The sequence below is a fragment of the Homo sapiens genome, chromosome 3 (assembly GCF_000001405.40).
Source record: "Homo sapiens chromosome 3, GRCh38.p14 Primary Assembly".
Classification (NCBI taxonomy): Eukaryota; Metazoa; Chordata; class Mammalia; order Primates; family Hominidae; genus Homo; species Homo sapiens.
The window spans coordinates 52,198,014-52,219,765 of record NC_000003.12 but is presented as its reverse complement, the minus strand read 5'-3'; the positions used below and the strand labels follow the sequence as shown (position 1 = coordinate 52,219,765).

Below are 21,752 nucleotides of genomic sequence, written 5' to 3'. Positions count from 1 at the left end.
CAAAGTGCTGGGATTACAGGTGTGAGCCACTGCACCCGGCTTCTATATGTGATAGTGTACATTTCAGGATAGAGCTGGGAGCCCCAATGACCAGTGTTTGGAGAGGTCAGGGTCTGTCCTCAGCAGGATCTCCTCCACACTGTGTGTGGAGCCATGAGGAGCGTCAGGCCTGGAGCCCCTGAGGGGCCCTCTCTTGGGCTGGCAGCCTACACCATTACCACAGCCAAAACTGCCCTTTGAGGAGCAGGGGAGAAATATGCAGGCTGACAGGTTGGAGCTGGGGCCCGGTTTGGCCGGTCCAGGCCAGTTTGAGATCTGCTTGTCCACTCAGGGCCTCTGGAGGGGAGAGCTAGAGCTGGCAGCAGACAGCTAACTTGGTGGGCTCATCATGGCAGCCCTTGGAGGGTTGCTTTTGCCCTACTCCCCAGGGCATGGCTGTGGGGGAAGTCTATGCTGCCGTCCTCTTTCTGACTTGGGTACAGGGGCTCCTGTGGTGGGCTGTAGATCCCTGTTATCTGCTCATCTGAAAGAAGGAGGGTCTCTGACCTACCAATCGGAAGCCCTGTGCCCCACGTGGGCTCTGACCCAACCTGTCATCCTTCCTTGGCTGCCTGCAGAGAAAAGAAAACAATAGTCTTTTCCCCCTGGCTGGAGTCTAGGGAAGTCCACTGTTGAGTGGCTCTGAGACTATTCTGGCCACAATCAGGGGCAGGGACAGGAAGCTGGAAACAGAATCCCATTCAGGGAACCATATTTTGCATGTGGGAGGCAAGGCAAACCTGCCTGTCTTGGGATTGCCAGGCCCACCCTCCAGCAGTTCCTGGTGGACCTTCCATCTCCCCACCCCCCACCCACGCTCACAGCCCTGATGCTTTTGGGGCTGGAGATTCAGGAGAGCATTTGGAGAGGAAGCACACGGGCCATGGTAGGGGGCTGTTGGGCTCGGCTCAGGTGAGTCTGGGGGTCTGTGGCACTTGGCTCTGTGCTGTCTACGTGATCAGAGAAGCCGCGCACCACTATCTCAGGTCCTGCAGGAAGTGGTTGGAGCTGGGCCAGGGTGGGGCTGGGTGGGAGGCGGCGCCCTCTGCATTGTAGTCAGGAAGGGTACTCAGAGATGGCTCCAGGTTCTCTCCTCCACACGGCGGCCATCCTTGCCCATCAGCACGGCCAGGAAAGAGACAGGACTCAGGCCAGATTGCCTGGGCTTGCCTGCCAGTTCTGCCATTTGGATTGTCTCAGGCAGGTGACCTCCCCTACTGGAGCCTCAGCTTGCTCGCTCTATAAATGGGAATGAGCAGCGCCACTCTGCAGGACGTTGGAGGGATTCGTACACTATGGGTAAGGGTCTGAAACACTGAGCAGGGCCTCAGTTATTATTAGGTGATGGGATTTACACGCAGGACCCTCAACTGATGTGGCTTCAGTGTTTCTCTCTCCACCCAGTGCCTCCCAGGGCACTGACAGGGTTCAGATGTGGTTGCATCAGAGGCACATGCAGCTGGGACAGTAGCTGTCTCTGGGAGCAGGACCAGGGCTCCTGGGAAAGTCCATGGACCTGGTGTTATCCCCTCGTGTTGGGGAGCAGAGAGTGCTTCCCAGCACAAGGAAGTAGAGGAGCAGGCATGAGACTCAGGCAACCTGATAGAGGAAAACTTCAAGGAGAGGAATGTCTGTTCACTAAGATTTCAAATACAGTTTGCCCTTTTCCCTTTAGGACACCTTATTTAATGCCGTCAGCTTCTAAATATCCTTAGAGAACTTTCATGACATCGTAGTTTCACACTAGAGTTGCTTATAAAAGCCAAACTTCCTTTCTTTTCTTTCTTTTTTTTTTTTTTTGTAAGACGGACTCTCGCTCTGTTACCCAGGCTGGAGTGTAGTGGTGTGATCTTGGTTCACTGCAACCTCCGCTTCCCGGGTTCAAGCGATTCTCCTGCCTCAGCCTCCCAAGTAGCTGGGATTACAAGTGCGCACCATCACGCCTGGCTAATTTATTGTATTTTTAGTAGAGATGGGGTCTCATCATGTTGGCCAGGCTGGTCTCGGACACCTGACCTCAAGTGATCCACCTGCTTTGGCCTCCCAGAGTGTTGGGATTACAGGCGTGAGCCATGGAGCCCGGCCCAAACTTCCATTTTTAAGCAGTTCACGAATCCCGCCTACTTCCTGCAGATCACCCGGTCCTTCGTTCTCATAACCCCAAGAAGCAGGGAGGGGCACATGCACCTGAGGGCCTTGCTTCTGCTGGCTCTGGGTCTTACGAAGGAAGAGTGGATCTTCCTAAGCATTCAGGTAGCAACATTACCCCAGCTGGAGGAGAACAATCCCATTTGAAGGAAGGGAGGTGATGGAGTCCTGGGCGTGGGAATGACAGGGACAATGGAAAGCCCTGAAAGCTCCTGTGAGGCAGCAGAGCCAGGAATGCTAAGCGAGGCTCGTTTCCTGAGCAGGAAGGAACTGAATCATGATTCCGAGGTGATGTGGTTTCCATCAAGCCCTGTAGCCTGCCTAGGTGTATGGTTTTATCTGATGGGAGTGTGACTCAGCCGAGCTCTGAGGGTGTGTGCCCCAGGCCCACTGCCAGCTTCCTGGGAAGGGGTGCCAGCCCAACTCTGTACAGAGAGGAGAAAACACAGCTGCCGTTTCTAGAGCTACGAGAAGGGAGGCGAGGTCAAAGGACTCTGCTCAACTCCAGCTGCTTGGTTTTGCTTCAGCTGTCTCAGTCTTTCTAGTAAACTTGACCTGTTGCCATTGGGTTTCTTTTTCTTTCATTCAGTACACATTTGTTTAGCATCCACTATGTATTAGGCACTGTGCTGGACTTTAAGGACACGGAAGTGAGAATACAGGGCACCTGTCCTCAGGGAGATGACATTACAACAGGGCAAATGGCCAGCAGGGGAAAAGTCATTGTGGGTGGTGACCAGAGCTCTGAAGGGCATCATGTCAGAGGCCAAGCAATGGTGAGACTGCAAGACGGTCTGCCTTAGCCGGCATGCTCAGCATGGTCTCCTTGGGGACCCTTGTCTGAGTGAAGAGAGGCAGCCACACCATGATCCAGGGGAGAAGCATACTGGCAGAGAAAGAATGGCTCACACCAGGGCCTGGAAGTTGCAGAGAACCTAGGTATTTGAGGCCCACAGTGAACAAACGAGGGTAGGATGGGAGACGGGTCTGGAGAACTGGATGGGACCTTGATCCCAACTTTGTCAGCCTGTGTGAGGAGCTTAGGGTTTTGTTTTGTTTTGAGATGGAATCTCACTCTGTCACCCAGGCTGGAGTGCAGTGGCATGATCTCGGCTCACTGCAACCTCCACCTCCTGGGCTCAAGTGATTCTCCTGCCTAGCCTCCCGAGTAGCTGGGATTACAGGTGCATGCCACTACGCCTGGCTAATTTTTTGTATTTTTAGTAGAGATGGGGTTTCACCATCTTGGCCAGGCTGGTCTCGAACTCCTGACCTCAAGTGATCTACCTGCCTTGCCTTCCCAAAGTGCTGGGATTACTTACAGGTGTGAGCCACCATGCCTGGCCTAGGGTTTTTGAGTCAGGGTCTCGCTCCGTCTCCCAGGCTGGAGTGCAGTGATGCAGTCTCAGCTCACTGCAGCCTCGATTGCCTGGGCTCAAACGATCCTCCCACCTCAGCCTCCCCCGAGCAGCTGGACTACAGGTGTGCACCACCACACCTGGCTAATTTTTAAATTATTTGTAGAGAGAGGATTTCCCATTGTTGCCCAGGCTGCTCTCACAAACTCCTGGGCTGAAACAATTCTCCCACCTCAGCCTCCCAAAGTGCTGGAATTACAGGCTGGGATTACAGGCATCAGCCACCATGCCCACCATGCCCAGCCTGAATTTAGAATTTAACCGGATTGTGACTGGAAGACCCAGGAAAGTTTTCTGCAGGGTAGGGACATGATCTGATTTTATTTTTAAAAGATCTTCTCTAGGAAGGCTGCTCTTGGGGTGAGTTGGGCAGATGCCATATGGTGGCATGATGAGGGTGGCGGCAGAGGAGGGGATGAGATGTGGCCGGGCCTGAGATGCACTTCAGAGGTGGAACTTACAGGACTTGCTAGTAGTGTGCATGTGAGGGAAAGGGCTGATTTCCACAGGAGAGGTCTGGGTGCCTGGGCAGATGAGAAGGCAAGAAGAAGACCAGGCAGCGAGGGGCAGCAGACCCTGGGTGCCCTCCGTGCCTGTGTGGTTGGAGGTACCTGTTTGACACCCAGGCAGAGATGGCAGTGCACAGATGCAGCTCAAAGCCCAGGCTGCGAGAGATTCTGTGGGGTGGGGGAGTTGAGTACAGTTAAGAGACGAGCCTGGTGGGGCCGTCAACATTCACAGCAAGACCCACCCAAATGGAACAAGAACCAGCTCATGGGGCAGGGGGAGAACAATCGGCAGAGGTTAGTGGCACAGACGCTTAGAGGAGAAGCTTCAAAAAGGCCAAGGACAACCACTGCAAATACCACTGAGATCCACCAAAGGAAGACAGAACTGGCCACCGGACTTGGCAAGATAGAGACAGATGTGAGAGACGAGCAGCCTTCCTAGAGAACAGGGATGAAAGGGCAACTGCTTAGAACAGGGGCAGCACAGAGGGGCAGGGGCAGCAAGAAGGGGGTCTGGACAGAGAGAGCTTATTTTTCAGAAGGGGGACAAAGCCTCTGCAGGCCAAGGAGAATGAACCAGCAGAGGGGGAGAAATTCTGCAGCAAAGAGATGGCTGCAGGACCATGCAAGAAACAACAGGACCTGAAATACAAACGGAGAGAGGCAGGATGAGGAGCACAAACCCCTCTGCCTTTGCTGGATGGGACACAACTACAGGTGCAGGAAGCTGACAGGCTGGAGGACAGGGTGGTGACAGACAAGCCAGTCTTCTGACGCCCAGACTTTCACAGGGAAGAATGGGGTCAAGGCAGTAGCTGAAAGGGAAAGTCAGGGGGAGGCAGCTGTAGCAGGACTGCTGGGCAGCACTGACTGTCCATTGAAGATGTGAAGTGAGAAGTTTAAAGTGAAACCGGCCGCCAAGGTGGTGTCACTCTTTCAAAACTGTTCAGTTGCCGGGTGCGGCTGGGTCAGCCACTGGATACAGTAGGCATTAAGGAGGTAGCAGGGCTCAAGCAGTGGGAGGTTCTGCTGCTCCTCCTCTGAAGCCATTACCAGAGCTCCAGTACTTCATTCAGTTTATTCATTCCTAGAATACAGACTGAACTTAAAGGGATGATGACAATTATTATTTTTTATTTCAGAGGCAGTCTTGCTCTGTCACCCAGGCCGGAGTGCAGTGGAGCAATCATGGCTCACTGCAGCTTCAAACTCCTGGCCTAAAGTGATCCTCTTGCTTTGGCCTCCCAAGTGTTGTGATTACAGGTGTTAGCCACTGTGTCTAGCCAATGAAGAATGTTATCCAGTAGCCAATAGCAGAAAGAACCACCATTTAAGCAAGAATTTATTTCCAGGACTATGTTTTTACTATAGATTAAAATTTAATATAACTTAATTCACATATAAAGACAACTCTGAAGACCATCTGGATATGATAATGGCCTGGGGTTAAGTGAAATAATTGAGGTCATGCTCAGGCCTGAGCAGATACCAACTTGCTCAAGCCTGAGAAATAGGACTTCTCTCTTTCACTCATCACTTCAAAATGCAGTGGCCTCCTGCAGAAGTTGCACTCAGCTGAGGAATGAGGCTTCAGTTCCAGCCCCACTTGCTTCCATGTGACTAGCAGATTCTCTGAGGAGAAACAGTTTTTAAATATTAAAGGGAGTAATATACACAAGAGAAATGAAAACATATGTCCACACAAAAACTTGTACACAAATGTTCATAGCAGCATTATTCATAATAGTTAACAAGAGAAACAACCAAATGTCCACCAATAGACGGATAAACAAAATGTGGTAAATCTGTACAATGGAAGGTTATTTGGTAACAGAAAGAAATGAAGTGCTGATGAATGCTACAGCATGGATGAGCCTTGCAGACATGATGCTGGAAGAAGGCAGACACAAAGGAGCACAGGCGGTATGATTCCACTTAGACACAAGGTCCAGAAAAGGCAAATCCATAGAGACAGAAAGAGCCGTGGTTGACAGGGGCTGGGGATGGGGAAAAGAGGAGTGACTCCTAATGGGTAGGGGCTTCTGAGGTGATGAAAATGTTCTAGAATCAGATAGAAGTGATGGTTGCATAACACTGGGAGTGTACTTAAAAATCATAGACTTGGATACTTTAAAAGGGTGAATTTTATGGTAAGTGAGCTATATCTCTACTGAGATAAGGCTTTTATAAAAATTTTAAGGCTTTTATAAAAATAAATAAAGAGAAAAATAAAACCCAGAGTTGGGCTTGATTTCACAGGCCTGTAGGGAAGAAGCTGCTCCAACACTGCCACGTGACAGTTTAAACCCAGCATTTCCAACAGAACAGAGAGCCTGTGAGGAAGCTGAGCCACGCTGGGCGGGCTTGGGAAGGCAATGTACCTTCGAGGCAGAGGTGACCTGTGGCTAATAGCCCCCTTCCATCTCTGCCTTTAGGTTGGACATGGGTGGAGCAGTATAGAACCACGGGGCAGTTGAAAATATTGAGCAATTCCTCTTATCAGAGGCGATTAGGTGTGGGGTTATTCAAGGATTATACAACATCATGGAGTAGAGGGCAGTGGTGAAGACAAATGTGAGGTGGACTCCGGAGGGACAGCGGGGACTCAAGCCTTCAGAGGCCTCTTCTCCCTGCAAGTCATTACTGTGCATCCTTCAGCCACGTAGACAAGGGGGCACTGGAAACACTGAGCGGATTCCCAGGCTCCCTCAGAGCTCCCAAAATGACTCTCCACCCTCTTGATGTGAATCAGACAATAAATACCTTTTAGGGTTTTGAACCATTTGAGGGCATGCTTAGTTACTTGGAAAAAGAAGAAACAGGCCGGGCACCAGGGCTCACACCTGTAATCCCAGCACTTTGGAAGGCTGAGGTGGGTGGATCACCTGAGGTCGGGAGTTCGAGACCAGCCTGACCAACATGGAGAAACCCCATCTCTACTAAAAATACAAAATCAGCCAGGCGTGGTGGCGCATGGCTGTAATCCCAGCTACTCAGGAAGCTGAGGCAGGAGAATCGCTTGAACCTGGGAGGCAGGGGTTGCGGTGAGCCGAGATTGTGCCATTGTACTCCAGCCTGGGCAACAAGAGCGAAACTCTTGTCTCAAAAAAAAAACTAAAAAAAGAAGAAGAAACAAATCTGAATGCCTCTGAAGGGCTTCAATTATAAACACTGCAAAGACAGCTTTATGCAACTCCTCAGTGAGGCACCAGCAGCTCCCCAGGTACTCACCAAGGAAGTAGTTCATCATCTGGGGTGTGTGGTGAGGGGTGGGGGCAATCCGTAGGAGCTCTTCTCCCCGGGGCACCGTAGGGTAATTGATTGCTTGCACGTAGATGTTATGTCTGCTCATTAGTTCATCACAGACTTCTGTGTTTTTAGCAGCATCTGCAACCTAAGTTCAATGAGAGCAGAAGGTAAGGTCACAACAGGAAGGACTACCTCTTAGCAGAGATCCTAACGAACGCAGTCCCCACAACGCTCAGGCTCAAGACCAGACTGTAGCAACACATGCAAGCTTGGGGCAGAGGGAAAGCGCTGCCCAAACACCTGTCATTTAAAAGAAGCCAGTGTTGTTTCGTGAACACCAGGGAACCAAAACCTTATTAAAAAGAAATACATTTTTAATCAGAAAACACTGGTTCTGTTCGTACCAGCAGACTCTCATACCCACGATGTATAATCTAGATTCAGTTATACTAGCTGTATTCATTACACTAATTCAACTGTGACATCAACAGTGCTACCATTTGTAGTGGGAAGGGCAAAACCTATTTTGAAATTTACTAAGTAGAAAGCCATACTTCAAAGCTGGCCAAGCTCAGGCTTCTGGAGCTTTCTAGATACAAGCTCTGTGTTTACCCTGTTAAGGTCAGTGCTCCGGAGAGGGAACTTCTGCCCCAGCCTGCTGGGTTCAAAGGCTTTCTTCTCTTGGTGAAGTCAGCCAATGGCGGAAACATGACAGAGGGTGGCTGGCTACAACCCCTGCCCTGGCAGTCACCCCGCTCAAGCCCAACTTCAGGAAGGTATGAAGCAGAACATCCGTACATCATGTGTAGAGGCACACCCCACGGCAAGTCCAATCAGAGACAGGCCATTACCCGCACAGGGATGATGTGGCTGGGGCAGTGGACAACAGGGAGGCCGGCATCCATTAGCATCTGTCTCATGAGTTTGACGTTGCGCTGGTGCTGGCGGCGAAGCACCCGTCCCTCAGCGCTCTTCAGGATCCGCACAGACTCCAGGGCTCCAGCCAGCAGCATGGGTGGCAGAGAGGTGGTGAAGATGAAGCCAGCAGCATAGGACCGTACGGTGTCAATCAGAGAACTCGTGCTGGCGATGTACCCTCCAACACAACCAAAGGCTTTGCCTGGGAGGAGATAGCTTCATTAATTACAGCAACAGCTGTAAATTGCTCTAAATGGACACAGCAAGGTGTTGTGGAGCCTCAAAGCACTGACTTTTCTCCTTATCTTTTTAATTTGTTCCTGGACTGATTGGAGTAGTCATGCACCACATTAATGATGTCTCAGTCAATGACGACCACATATATGATGGTGGTCCCATAAGATTATAATACTGTATTTTTACTGTACCTTTTCTATGTTTAGGTATGTTTAGATACACAAATACCATGGTGTTGCCAACAGTATCCAATACAGTAACATGTTGTACAGGTTTGCAGCCTAGGAGCAACACGCCATACCACAAAGCCTAGGTGTGCGGTAGGCTATATAATCTAGGTTTATGTAAGTACACTCTATGGTGTTTGCACAATGATGAAATCGCCTAGTGATGCAATTCTCAGAACACATCCCCCATCGTTAAGCAATGCATGACTATAAAAGGATATCTAATCTTCCTTTTTTTTTTAGAGACAGGGTCTTGCTCTGTCACCCAGGCTGGAGTGCAGTGGCATGATCATAGCTCTCTGCAGCCTCAACCTCCTGGGCTCAAGTATTCCTTCCGCCTCAGCCTCCCAAGTAGCTAGGACAGGTGTACACCACCATGCCTGGCTGATTTTTTAAATTTTTATTTTGTGTAGAGAGGAGGCCATGCTTCGTTGCCCAGGGCTGGTCTCAAACTCCTGGGTTCAAGTGATCCTCCTGTCTCAGCCTCCCAAAGTGCTGGGATTCAGGTGTGAGCTATCGTGCCTGGCTACTCACTTTTAAAAGGGTAAAAAAGCTAAGGAAAGTTACAAAAGGGTCTTGCCCAAAGTCATATGGCCAAGCTGGTGTCTAACCAGGATCAAAATGCAGGTCTTCCAATCAGACCTGACACCTCAGTGACTGGTCCCAGTGTGCCCAAATACCCTGCTGCTGCCTCCCTTCCCACCATCTTATTCTCCTTTCCCTTTCTCACCCAGGCTTGCTGCTCTGACAGCCAGCACAGCTCCACTCCCCATGTCTGCACTGCATGTGCTCTTTGGAACAAGACTGGCTCTGCAGTGCTTGTACCATCCTCCCACAGGGAACATTATCCCAGAGGCTGGAATTTTACCCAGCTAAGGCATTAACTGTTTTGGTATGACTGGTGTTATTTCCTACTTAAGAACAAAACTCTTGACAATTAATGCATTAGGATTGATTTAGGGCCAGACTTGGTTTTCAATTCTCATTGAGTCCTTTTGTGTGATCTACATCTCAAGTTTCAGGATTAAAAACTCCAGAAGAGGCCAGGTGCAGTGGCTCACACCTATAGTCCCAGAACTTTGGGAGGCCGAGGGGGGCAAATCACTTGAGCTCAGGAGTTAGAGACCAGCCTGGCCAACATGGTGAAACCCCGTTTCTACTAAAAATACAAAAATTAGCCAGGCATGCTAGCGCACACCTGTAGTCTCAGTTATTCAGGAGGTTGAGGTGGGAGGATCACTTGAGCCCAGGAGGTGGAGGCTGCAGATGAGCTGTGATCACACCTGGGCACAGAGTGAGAGCCTGTCTCAAAAAACAAAAAGAACTCCAGAAGAGTCTTCATAGATCTTAACATAACATTCTATAATTAATGTTTTTGCTAAAACCACATGCAAAGCTGGGTTGGTTCAATCTCCTATGGTATAAAGTTTCTCTCTCCAGCCTTTTCCATCTCACAATGACCATACCTTCAAAGAGCCCACATCAGGAGACATCCTTAAAAGAAAAGAGCTTCTGGCCGGGTGTGGTGGCTCACGCCTGTAATCCCAGCACTTTGGGAGGCTGAGGCGGGCAGATCACGTGGTCAGGAGATTGAGAACATTCTGGCTAACACGGTGAAACCCCGTCTCTACTACAAATACAAAAAATTAGCCAGGCATGGTGGCGGGTGCCTGTAGTCCCAGCTACTTGGGAGGCTGAGGCAGTAGAATGGCATGAACCTGGGAGGTGGAGCTTGCAGTGAGCTGAGATCGCGCCACTGCACTCCAGCCTGGGCAACAGAGTGACACTCCATCTCGGAAAAAAAAGAAAAAAAAGAAAAGAGCTTCTTGAATTAAGACACATGATCAGGTGTTTTTCTCCTGGTAGTGGTTCCACCCTTAGAACTCCCAGGCTTTCTGGGTCTGCACTAGGTTCTCATACCCCTTGACAGTGCTGAAGGACGCTTTTTAAAAAGCCTGCCCTTCCTTTACCAAGCATAGGCTATAAACTGGCATTTTAGCTAACTGCTAGATGGGTTTCCAACTGCCTTACCCACTTCTGAAGGCTTAAAAAAATTCTTCAAAATTACAAAAATTCTTCAAATTTATGTAATTTTCGTCTCTTTAGGGTTCTCATAGGTTCTCAGAGGGAATGTTTATAATAACTGTTTGCATACAACTTATTTACCTTCTCCACATATATTTTGATTTAGGTCCTATTGTTTTCTCCATTATATTGATGATGAAACTGAGGTATAGAAAGGTTAACTACCAACTCAAGGTCACACAACTAGTGAGGTGGCAGGGCTCCAAAGTCTAGCTCCCATCTACCACGAGACATAGCCTCTGTATGAGGAAGAGCAGAGGAAAACCAGGATGAATTAGAATGTTCCCACGTGGCAGGCACGGAGTTCAGCACTTCACAACACCTGAACCTAACAAGTGCTCCAGGAGAAAAGTACTAGAATTCCTTTTTCTTTTTAATTAAGAACAGCCTGAGGCACAGAGAGTACAGGCTCTTGCCATGGCATGGGGCTAGACCCACAACTATGTCTGAAATGAGCTCAGATAGCAATAAATGGTCTATCAGTGTGTTAGGCTGTGGGATTTACTTTGATTCTAAGAGCCATGCCTCCATGACCCAAGGGATTCCACTAAGCTGGGCCAAAAGAAAGAGTGGCCCAGGCTTCATATGCTGTCAGGCTGTCTCCTCACCTGATCCCAGTTAGACTAGTTAGTCCTTGGCCTTGTTAGGATAATGGAATTTTAGTGTATGTAATACAATGTATACATACCAAGTGTTCCAGAAATGATGTCCATTTTTGGCATGACTCCATCCCGATCCCCAATCCCTCCGCCTCGAGCCCCATAAAGCCCCACTGCGTGGACCTCATCCACGAAGGTGATTGCTCCAAACTCATGGGCCACATCACACAGCTCTTCCAGTGGGCACACCGCCCCTGAGGAAAGACCAGAGACTGCTCTGAAGAGCTTTTGCCGCTTCAGAAATTTCTGTTTTGGTTAGAGTCAGAACAACGTAAACTTCTATTCTAAGGTATCATTTTCAATATTGGAAAGAAAATGAACTTCCTCTAATTTCTAGGTTACCTGGGGTCCCAGAGCCTAGTAAAAGCCAGAATAGAAAATCCACTTTCACCCAAATCTATTAGAAAAAAGTCCACCAATTACAAATCTTGGCAGAATGCAATACTACACAGCAATAAAAAAAGAATGAGACCATGTCCTTTACAGCAATACGGATGGAGCTAGAGGCCATCCTAAGTGAATTAATACAGGAACGGAAAAACCAAATATCGCTCTCACTTATAAGTGGGAGCTAAACACTGAGAACACATGGACACAAAGAAGGGAACAACAGACACCAGGGACCGACTTGAGGGTGGAGGGTGGGAGGAGGGTGAGATCAAAAACTACCATTGGGTACTATGCTTACTACCTAGGTGATGAAATAATTGGTACACCAACACCCTGTGACACATAATTTACCCATATAATAAACCCGCACATGTACCCACTGAACCTAAAAGTTGGAAGAAGAAAAAAAAAAATCCTGGCAGAAAGGAAAAGAAAATTAAAAAACACAACAGGCCAGGCGCGGTGGCTCACGCCTGTAATCCCAGCACTTTGGGACGCCAAGGTGGGCGGATCACAAGGTCAGGAGATTGAGACCATCCTGACTAACACAGTGAAACCCCGTCTACTAAAAATACAAAAAGTTAGGCCAGGTGCGGTGGCTCACACCTGTAATTCCAGCTCTTTGGGAGGCTGAGGCGGGCAGATCACAAGGTCAGTAGATCGAGACCATCCTAGCTAACATGGTGAAACCCTGTCTCTACTAAAAATACAAAAAATTAGCTGGGCGTGGTGGCAGGCGCCTGTAGTCCCAGCTACTCAGGAGGCTGAGGCAGGAGAATGGCGTGAACCCAGGAAGTGGAGCTTGCAGTGAGCCGAGATCACGCCACTGCACTCCAGCCTGGGTGACAGAGGGAGACTCCGTCTCAAAAAAAAAAAAAAAAAAAATTAGCCAGGCGTGGTGGCAGGTGTCTGTAGTCCCAGCTACTCGGGAGGCTGAGGCAGGAGAATGACGTGAACCCGGGAGGCGGAGCTTGCAGTGAGTCGAGATCGCACCACTGCACTCCTGCCTGGGCAACAGAGCGAGGATCGGTCACAAAAAAAAAAAATTAAAAAACACAACAAAACACCATACTTTTAAAGAGTTCAGGCATAGTTTTTCATCTTAGGTTTCAGAGGAACCTCTATCCACACTTACCATCCATTGAATGGACAGTTTCAAATGCCACAATCTTGGGGACTGAGGGGTCAGATCTTTGCAGCAGTTCTCTGAGGTGGCTGACATCATTGTGGCGGAAGATGTACTTTGGCACTCGGCTGTTTCGAATCCCTTGGATCATGGAGGCATGGTTCCCAGAATCAGAGTAAATCTCACAGCCTAAGACAACAAAAATGCTATTTATTGCCATGTGCATCGAAGACAAATTATTTCCTAGAGAAAGACAACAGACTTTTCCTTGGAAATGATGCTTTGAAAATGCCTAGTAGGAAAAAGACACTGTGTGCCAGTTTCTTCCTGGCAAAATAACTAGTTAGTGCTTCCCTTGTGAGAAGGCCCAAAGGTGTAGAATAACCTTGTGGCAGGCCATTAATCTGCTCTTAAATCTGACTGCCTCACTCCAAACTCAATCAAGAGCTAACTAAATGATTAAGAGACTTCTCCAAAGGATCATCTTAGAATACAAAACATATTTGAGGCAATTAGCTCAAGGATGAGACGTTTCAAGTTTGAATTTTCACTGGTATCACGTTCTCCTGGAACCCATAATGTACAGTCAGCATTTCATGCTTGACCCCAGAACAAATGCCCAGATAGGATTATGATTTTCAATTGAGAGGTTCTGGTAAGGCTTCTTTGTTGCCAATATTCTTGTTATTACTAAGAAACCCAAAAAACTCGAAGGCACTCATGCCAGGCTTCCTTACCTGGCATCATCTTAGCCAGGGTGAAGAGGGTTGAGTCATTGGCCACAAAGCACGAGGAAAACAAGAGTGCGGCATCTTTCCCATGGAGGTCTGCCAGCTCCCGCTCTAAGTCCACATGGAATTTACTAGTTCCAGAAATATTTCTAGTACCACCTGCCCCAGCACCATGTTGTTTCAAAGTGTCCCTGTTTAAAAATACAAACAAAACCAGAAAATAAAGCTCATGGTTCTCAACACCATGTGAATTTTTTCCCCTTTCTAGGATCCAGGAGACTGAAACATGTTGATGTAGCAACTCTCTCACTGTGAAACCTGGGGTCAGAAATTTCAACTGATTTCATCTTCAGACTAGGTGGGAGAAGGTGTCAATGCTAGGGTGATGATACCTCCAGGAATCATCAAGAACAAGTGTTCATTTAACAGTCAGTAAGTGCTTGGTATTAGCTGAGTTTCTTTTCTAAGAAACTAAGGTTTATTTTCTGAGAAACATTATTCTTTCCAATAACATGTTAGCTTAAGAAAAAGCAAACTCTAGAGGGACATCCTGGATGGTGGTTACCCTCTGCAAGCCAGTCATGTAATGTTTGGATATATCACTATCATTAAACCTCAAACCGGGACCCTCTTTAGCAAGCCTTTGGAGAATCTGGCCAGCAACTCTCTCCAGCATCCCTAGGATGGTGAGCCTCCTGAAGGACGAGTGATGGGATCTACCATCCTTTTTAACATGTCTTTTGGAGTAGCTTTTTCTCTAGCGCTGCTAGATTCGTATTTCTCCACTCACAGCCACAACCAAGGATGTCTCTGTGAAAGACTGCCTGGTGTTAAAGGCACACTCACTTGCAGAGTGATAGAAAGTGGACTGACGTGTGTGGTCATTGAGCCTATAAGCTTGAACCCTCACAAGTTAAGGGGCTCCAGCAGCTACCTGCATATTAGAGTTCCTTTAAAAGTAATCTGTAGATATTTTTCAGAAGCTAAGAATAGTATTTTGCTATGGCACACTTTCAGCTACTGAATGTTCCCTCCATAAAAGATCCAACCCCTATACATCATCATTGGCTTGCCAAATAACAACAGTAATATTTGAAAGCCAAGGGCTACTTACATAACTGCCCCACACACCCGTGGGTGGCGACTCATTCCTAGGTAGTCATTACTGCACCAGACTGACACTTGCTTTTTGGTGATGAGGGAGTCTGAATAGTCATCTGCCATGGGGAAGATGTGTGCTCGCCGGTTCACAGTTTTAAAAACTCGATAGGTGTGGTCATTCTTTTTCTCATCAATTTTTTTCTCAAAGAAACGATCATACTGAAAAGTGGAAACAGCTAAAAATTGAACAAAAGACAGTACAGAATGGTGGTTGTGAAACACAGCTGCATTTTGGTGAAATACAACAAGTCTCAGCTTGGCAACTGAGGGAGATCCTGGGCAGGTTATTTGATGTCCTCATCTTGTAAGTAAATAAGACTGTATGTCGTGTTTGGCTCAGTGCCATGTGTAGACGGTAAGTATTAAAGGACAGAAGGCAGGCTACCAACAGCACCTGTAGTCACCACAACCAAAAGCACCTGCTCACGCAAGCAAGGGATATGGCTTTCAAGCCTCAACTCACCATACATTTTTTTGTTTTTCCTAGAAACTGAGTCTCTGTCTGTCATTCAGGCTGGAGTGCAATAGCGTGATCATAGCTCACTGAACCTTGAAGTCTTGGGCTTAAGCAATCTTCCTACCTTAGCCTCCTGAGTAGCTGGGACTATAGATGCAAGCCATCATGCCTGGCTAATTAAAAAAACTGTTTTGGTAGAGATAGTGTCTTGCTATGTTGCCAAGGCTGGCCTCAAACTCCTGGCCTCAAGTGATCTTCTCCCGCTTCAGCCTCCCAAAGTGCTGGGATTACAGGTATGAGCTACTGTGCCCAGCCTCACCATGCAATTTTATATTTAATCTAATGTACATTTGAATTATAAATTCTTTTCTACATCAGGCAAATAACAATGAGACTTACATTTTGGCAAGTTATCTTGAAGAAGATGAGACACTCTTTCTGGTCTTTGCTTTTGCATGATGTCCTGGAAGTTCTTCAGCAGTCCACTGGGATCCCCTCCATCGGTTTTCACACTAACCACACTGGGGCCTGCTGAGGTTTCAGCAACCTCTGGAACAAAAGTAACAAGAAACAAATGGGACCAACTTTCTATTCTGAGTTCACAATATCTTCCAAACATATTGTCAAAAATGGCTTATGGCCTAGTTCACAAAAAAGGCCAAGCATAACCAAAGTTAGTTATAACTGAGTGTACAAAGCATCTCTTCTATTTTAGTTACTGTAATGGCAGACTCTTGGTGTTGTTTTCAGAGCTACTGGCCAGCTTTAATGAACAATAAAGTCCAAAGCTTTCTTGCTGGTTGGCATGTCTTATTCACTCCACTACATCCCCACCCCAATCCTAATCTCAATTTTCTGTTTTTTTTTTTTTGAGACAGAGTCCCATTCTGTCACCCAGGCTGGAGAGCAGTGGCACGATCTCGACTCATTGCAACCTCTGCCTCCTGGGTTCAAGCGATCCTCCCTCCTCAACCTCCTGAGAAGATGGGACTATAGGCATGCGCCATCATGCCCAGCTAATCTTTGTATTTTTGGTAGGGATGGGGTTTCCCCATGTTGGCCTGGCTGGTCTTAAACTCCTGGCCTCAAGTGATCCACCTGCCTCGGCCTCCCAAAGTGCTGGGATTATAGGTGTGAGCCACTGGGCCTGGTCCTAATCTCAATTTTCTTCATAGAAAACAATTTTGGCCATATGCATAATTTCTGCTGGTTAGGCTTTTGGGGAGCCTTGAGTTCTCTGCAGATATAGCCACACCTATATATTGTGGAGTTAAGGTTGCAATTCAATGACCATCAGTAAGACACACGGCTTGGGAGCCCTAGGACCAGCACTTACTGCAGTAAAACCATTATTTTCTATCTTTATCCTAGCAGATGATGGGAAAGACCAAAGGGACAAAAGGCAGCTGGTGGCAGCTCAAGACTGCAGGTTATTTTCAGAAATTAAGTAGTAACTATAAAAGCTGGTCACATCCCACACACGCACCAGAAAGAAAGTCCCACTTTCGCAATACAGTCCCTTGACTGTCTATCTTGAAGACCTTCCTCTCTGGCCCTAAAAGAGGAAGGTGTTTCCATAAATACTGCCCTAATAATAGCTCATACACAAATCTGAGGGCCCAAAAGAACTAAAAGGACCCCTTCACTACCACTAATGGTTCACAACTCATCTCTTACCTTTCCTCACGGCATTCATTTCCTGCACATCCTCCTGAAGCTCAAGACTGGCTTTGCAGAAGACACTGCTGCCTCTCTGATTCATCTGTGCTGCCAGGAAAGGGCATTTGCTTGCAGTGCCCTGGCTTGTGGCAGGCAAGGGGTGTCCAGACGGAAGCTGTGTGCCATCTGGACTCTGCTGGGATCCATCAGGAGTCTGTTGGACCTTGGCCTTAGCAGTTTTGTCTTCTGAGGGAGGAAATGGAAAAAGTGAAGCATCAGATCTGGTTGCACAGTATGTAAGAAAACCACTTATTTCTTTCTTTTATTGCCTCAAAGATAAACTTAATACTTACTGTACCCCACCATCCAGACACAAGTGTTTTTTTTGTTTTGTTTTGTTTTTAAGATGGAGTCTTGCTCTGTACCCCAGGTTGGAGTACAGTGGCACAATCTTGGCTCACTACAACCTCCACCTCCTGGGTTCAAGTGATTCTCATGCCTCAGCCTCCCAAGTAGCTGGGGTTACAGGTGTGTGCCACCATGCCTGGCTAATTTGTGTATTTTTAGTAGAGATGGGGTTTCACCATGTTGTCCAGGCTGGTCTTGAACTCCTGACCTCAGGTTATCCACCTGCCTTGGCCTCCCAAAGTGCTGGGATTATAGGCGTGAACCACTGCACTCAGCCACAAGCTTATTTTTATTAGGTTCTGCTAATCTCTCTAGTTTTTCATCTGCTTCACAGGAAACAATGCGTCTATGAAGAGTTAACTGGCACATTCCAGTTGCCTCTTAAACCCACAGTATTTCTCGTCATAAATCCAAAAAAAGTACCATTTTCTAGTTTTAGACAACCCGGAATCCTTGAGTTGGATCATTTCCAGTAATTTCTACCCCAACTACACTCAGCTTATTTTATGAGAGGACACACTCTGTAAGGTAACGGGAAATATTCACACACATTTTTTTCTCTGCTAACATTTTCCTTTCCTTTTTTTTTGAAACAGGATCTCACTCTGTCAACCAGGCTAGAGTGCATGGTGCAATCATAGCTAACTGCAGCTTTGACCTCCAGGCTCAAGTGATCCTCTCACCTTAGCTCTCCAAGTAGCTTGGACTGCAGGTGTTCTACTGCGCCCAGCTAATTCTTTTTATTTTTTATTTTTTGTAGAGACGGAGTCTTGTTATGTGGCCCTAGCTTCTATCAAACTCCTAGGCTCAAGCAGTCCTCCCGCCTCAGCCTCCCAAAGTGCTGGAATTACAGGCATGAGCCACCACATCCTGTCTCTGCTGACATTTTCTAAACAGATTCTTGACAAAGAGGCTTGCTGTTGCTTAACATAAAAGCTATTGGTTTTCATCTAAACAACAGAAATTAGACTAAGACTTAGGTCTTTAGATTGCTAATAAAGTAAGAAAAAATAGGGGTATATCACATTCACATACCTCATCTACTTTCTCATCTAAATTCATCAAAGTCTGCTGACTAAACACCGTTGGCTGGTAATTATCCTTCTAGCTACAGTGACTTCCCTCTCCCCTTGAGCAAATTCATTCACCTTCTTTCTAGAAAAGTCTTTCTTCATCATTCTGGAACACTCCTGTGAGTCACTGGCTAGCCTTTCCTATAACTTGGGTAAAGTGTCTCAATACAGTTTTCATTAAAATCTTCTATAACGGAAGGCCAAAAAAATTATTTTGAAGTTAATTTCATTTATTATAAAAGTAATACATATTCATTAAAGTCTAGAAAAAGAAAAAAATCCTATCATTTAAAACATAGCCATTGCAAGCATTTTGGTAAAAAAGACGTAACTAACTCTTGAAAATAAACCCTACAAAGGATTAAATCCTTTCTGCTTAAAGAAAAAAAAAACTTATTTTCTTACAAGCCCACACCCAGAGAACACGCCTAAGAAAAACCTGTAAAATATTCTCTGGGATTAAGTGGAACCTGAAAAGCTTTGTTCTCTCCTATCAGAAGCAGAGCAAACTAAATTCAACTCTAGTCTCTTTGTTAAAAACAACAACAACAAATGTATATACAAATAAAGATACATGGCATGATCTCAGCTCACTGCAACCTCTACCTCCCGGGTTCAAGCAATTCTCATGCCTCAGCCTCCCAAATAGCTGGGATTACAGGCGTACACCACCACATCCAGCTAATTTTGTATTTTTTGTAACAGTGGGGTTTCACCATGTGGCCAGGCTGGTCTCGAACTCCTGGCCTCAGGTGATCAAACCACCTCGGCCTCCCAAAGCGCTGGGATTACAGGAGTGAGCCACTGCACACAGCCAAGATAAATTTGTTTTTAAAAATCACTAATAAATACTGTACAATTTCACTTATATGAGGTACCTAGAATAGTCAAATTCATAGAGACAGAAAGCAGAATGGTGGTTGTCAGGGGTTGGGGAGAGAGGAATGGAGAGTTACTGTTTGATGGGTATAGAATTTCAGTTTGGGAAGATGAAAAAAGTTCTGGAGATGGATGGTGGTGGTGACACAACAATATGAATGTACCACTGAACTGCACATTTTTAAGTGCTTAAAATGGTAATTTTTCTTGGGCATTTTACCACAACAGAACAAAAACTTTTAAGAAAAAAAAAATCACTACTTTAAAAAGCCAAAGGGGCCGGGCACGGTGGCTCACGCCTGCAATCCCAGCACTCTGGGAGGCTGAGGCAGGTGGATCATTTGAGGTCAGGAGTTTGAGACCAGCCGGACCAACAAGGTGAAACCCTACTAAAAGTACAAAAATTATCTGGGCGTGGTGGTGCATGCCTGTAATTCCAGATACTTGGAAGGCTGAGGCAGGAGAATCACTTGAACCTGGGAGGTGGAGGTTGCAGTAAGCCGAGACTGCATCACTGCACTCCAACCTGGGCGACAGAGCAAGACTCAGTCTCAAAAAAGAAAAATTAAATAAATAAAAAGCCGAAGGCCAAATGTTTAATGAGGGAAATTAGAAGGCTAAATGTTTAATGAGGGAAATTAGAACATTCCAATTTAATATTTATGTGAACGAGGCACTGAGGAAACACTAAAACCCCTATAGACACTAACGTGCAATCCAAAAACCTGTAATGTGCAACACTGGCCACTGTTTCACCTTTAAAGATGGAAAAGCTAAAAGTGCCTACCCTTGGGGGGACAATCATATGAGATAATCTGTGCTCAGAGCCCAGCCTGCACATAGCAGCCCTCTGTGAGTGAGTGTGACCCTCACCACCACTGTGGGGACTGCTTCTAGTCTACCAATGAGCACAAACACCCATACCTGCTCCTTCATTGTCAATGACACTTACTCTCACTGGCCGGAGGGGTTTCTTTGATCTGTTGGTAGTGTACTGCTGCAGTGGACAATGCCCGAGGGGCTGGCTTGGCCCCAACTTCCATCATCTTGGGGCAGTTTTGGGCATAGAACAACAGAGATTTGCCTGCTTTCTGCAGAAAGGCCTGGGGGACTCGGGATAAGAATGGGCAGCGGCGAACAACACTCTCCATGTTCAGGAAGTATGCTGGCTCCTGTGGAAAGACTGATGAAGAGTGACATCAACAGTTGTTAATAATCAGGCAAATATCACTGCAAGCTCACTGGATTCAGGTGTCAACCGCAGTTTATATAAAGGGTACCCTGGAATACTAACACTTCTCCCTCAAAAATGCCTAAGGACAGCACTGATGTGAGCTAAGGAATGGTGACCACACTTTACCCGGGTCACCAACTTCTTCATTCTCCAGCGCTACACAAAGGCACCTGCAAAGCAACTTCACCAAATGAATACTGACAGTACATAATCAAGGGGGCGGAAGGATGAGGGAAAGGTCAAGAACAGGTTTGGGAGGCCAGAGGTTTCTTAGGGAGATGCACAGTGCAGATAAGACATCTTGGCTTACATCTAGGTGGAGAAGAAGCCACTCATCCATCCAGGCAGGGAAGACTCTTAGGGATCCTGACTTTCTCCTGGTCCCCACATCCCCTAAACCCGAGGAAGGGGTCCAGCAGGGTCCCGAGTCCCTGAAGCAAGGATTCCTCCGTGGTCGTGTCCCCACAGCGGGAAGAACTGGGCATAACTGAGAAAGGAGGGGCACAAATGAGGGTAGGGGTATGAGGGCCAGCGCCTTGGGCCTCACTGGGGACGCGCAGGGGCTTATAAAGTCGAGGGAGTTGAGTCTGGAGAAAGAAGGCAGTCCTCCGGCAGTGGGGGTCAGAGGTGACCCGCGGTCGAGGTCTCGAGAATGACGGGAGGGGTATGAGAAGGGAATTCTAAAGCGGCGGGTTCAACCGGGAATAGCCGGAAGGGGCCGAAAGGGGGAAACTGAGGCGGCCGTCTAGGCAAAAGATCTGGAGGATAAACGCTGACCTCAAGGCGGCGGGTGACTGGGACAGTGGGGGATGGGGTCCCAGCACCCGGGGCAGCGGTGCCACGGCTGGCAGGACACCCCGGGGCTTCCTCGGCCGGCGCCGCACCTACCGCGCGGGCCCTCACCTGCGCTGAGGACTGCAGAGGCGGCGGCGAAGGAGGCGGGCACTCAAGTCGAGAAGTCCAAACGAAACGCTCGTTGCCCTTGTCCGGGAGCAGCCTCAGGCCGCGATCGCCGGCGCCTTAATATACAGCGGGAGTGACCGCTGCGCATGCGCCTTGGGCGCTGCCTTCTTCTGCGCAGGCGCGCCGCGTAGCCCTCGGCGAGCCGGGGGGGCGGGGCAGAGAGGCCCACTTCTTGGGCTCTG

At 47.6% G+C, this 21,752-nt stretch overlaps 1 protein-coding gene across 7 annotated transcripts, besides 3 other annotated features; it reads right to left on the bottom strand.

Moving 5' to 3' along the window:
• ALAS1 (5'-aminolevulinate synthase 1) lies at positions 5,439-21,683 on the bottom strand. Of its 7 annotated transcripts, none has more exons than NM_001304444.1 (12): positions 21,511-21,683; positions 20,918-21,094; positions 20,326-20,545; positions 17,032-17,259; positions 15,754-15,903; positions 14,851-15,073; positions 13,743-13,927; positions 13,015-13,194; positions 11,519-11,683; positions 8,215-8,483; positions 7,346-7,508; positions 5,439-5,746 (listed from the first exon to the last, which is right to left on the bottom strand). In NM_001304444.1, exons 2-12 carry the CDS (start codon positions 20,945-20,947, stop codon positions 5,586-5,588), a joined length of 1,974 nt encoding a protein of 657 aa, NP_001291373.1. In that variant the 5' UTR covers positions 20,948-21,094; positions 21,511-21,683; the 3' UTR covers positions 5,439-5,585. The 7 variants fall into 7 exon arrangements, with proteins under 7 accessions (NP_001291373.1, NP_000679.1, XP_011531780.1 ...); NM_000688.6 differs by having other exon boundaries at positions 20,326-20,556; positions 21,511-21,606; XM_011533477.3 differs by having other exon boundaries at positions 5,456-5,757.
• Positions 8,739-9,033: an enhancer, noted in NCBI's record as "tiled region #10522; HepG2 Activating DNase matched - State 5:Enh". NCBI's record gives its function as "activates a minimal TATA promoter and a strong SV40 promoter by Sharpr-MPRA in HepG2 cells {active_cell/tissue: HepG2}" and the evidence as "EXISTENCE:reporter gene assay evidence [ECO:0000049][PMID:27701403]".
• Positions 21,365-21,444: a silencer, noted in NCBI's record as "silent region_14432". NCBI's record gives its function as "represses an Ori minimal core promoter by ATAC-STARR-seq in GM12878 lymphoblastoid cells {active_cell/tissue: GM12878}" and the evidence as "EXISTENCE:reporter gene assay evidence [ECO:0000049][PMID:35858748]".
• Positions 21,555-21,624: a silencer, noted in NCBI's record as "silent region_14431". NCBI's record gives its function as "represses an Ori minimal core promoter by ATAC-STARR-seq in GM12878 lymphoblastoid cells {active_cell/tissue: GM12878}" and the evidence as "EXISTENCE:reporter gene assay evidence [ECO:0000049][PMID:35858748]".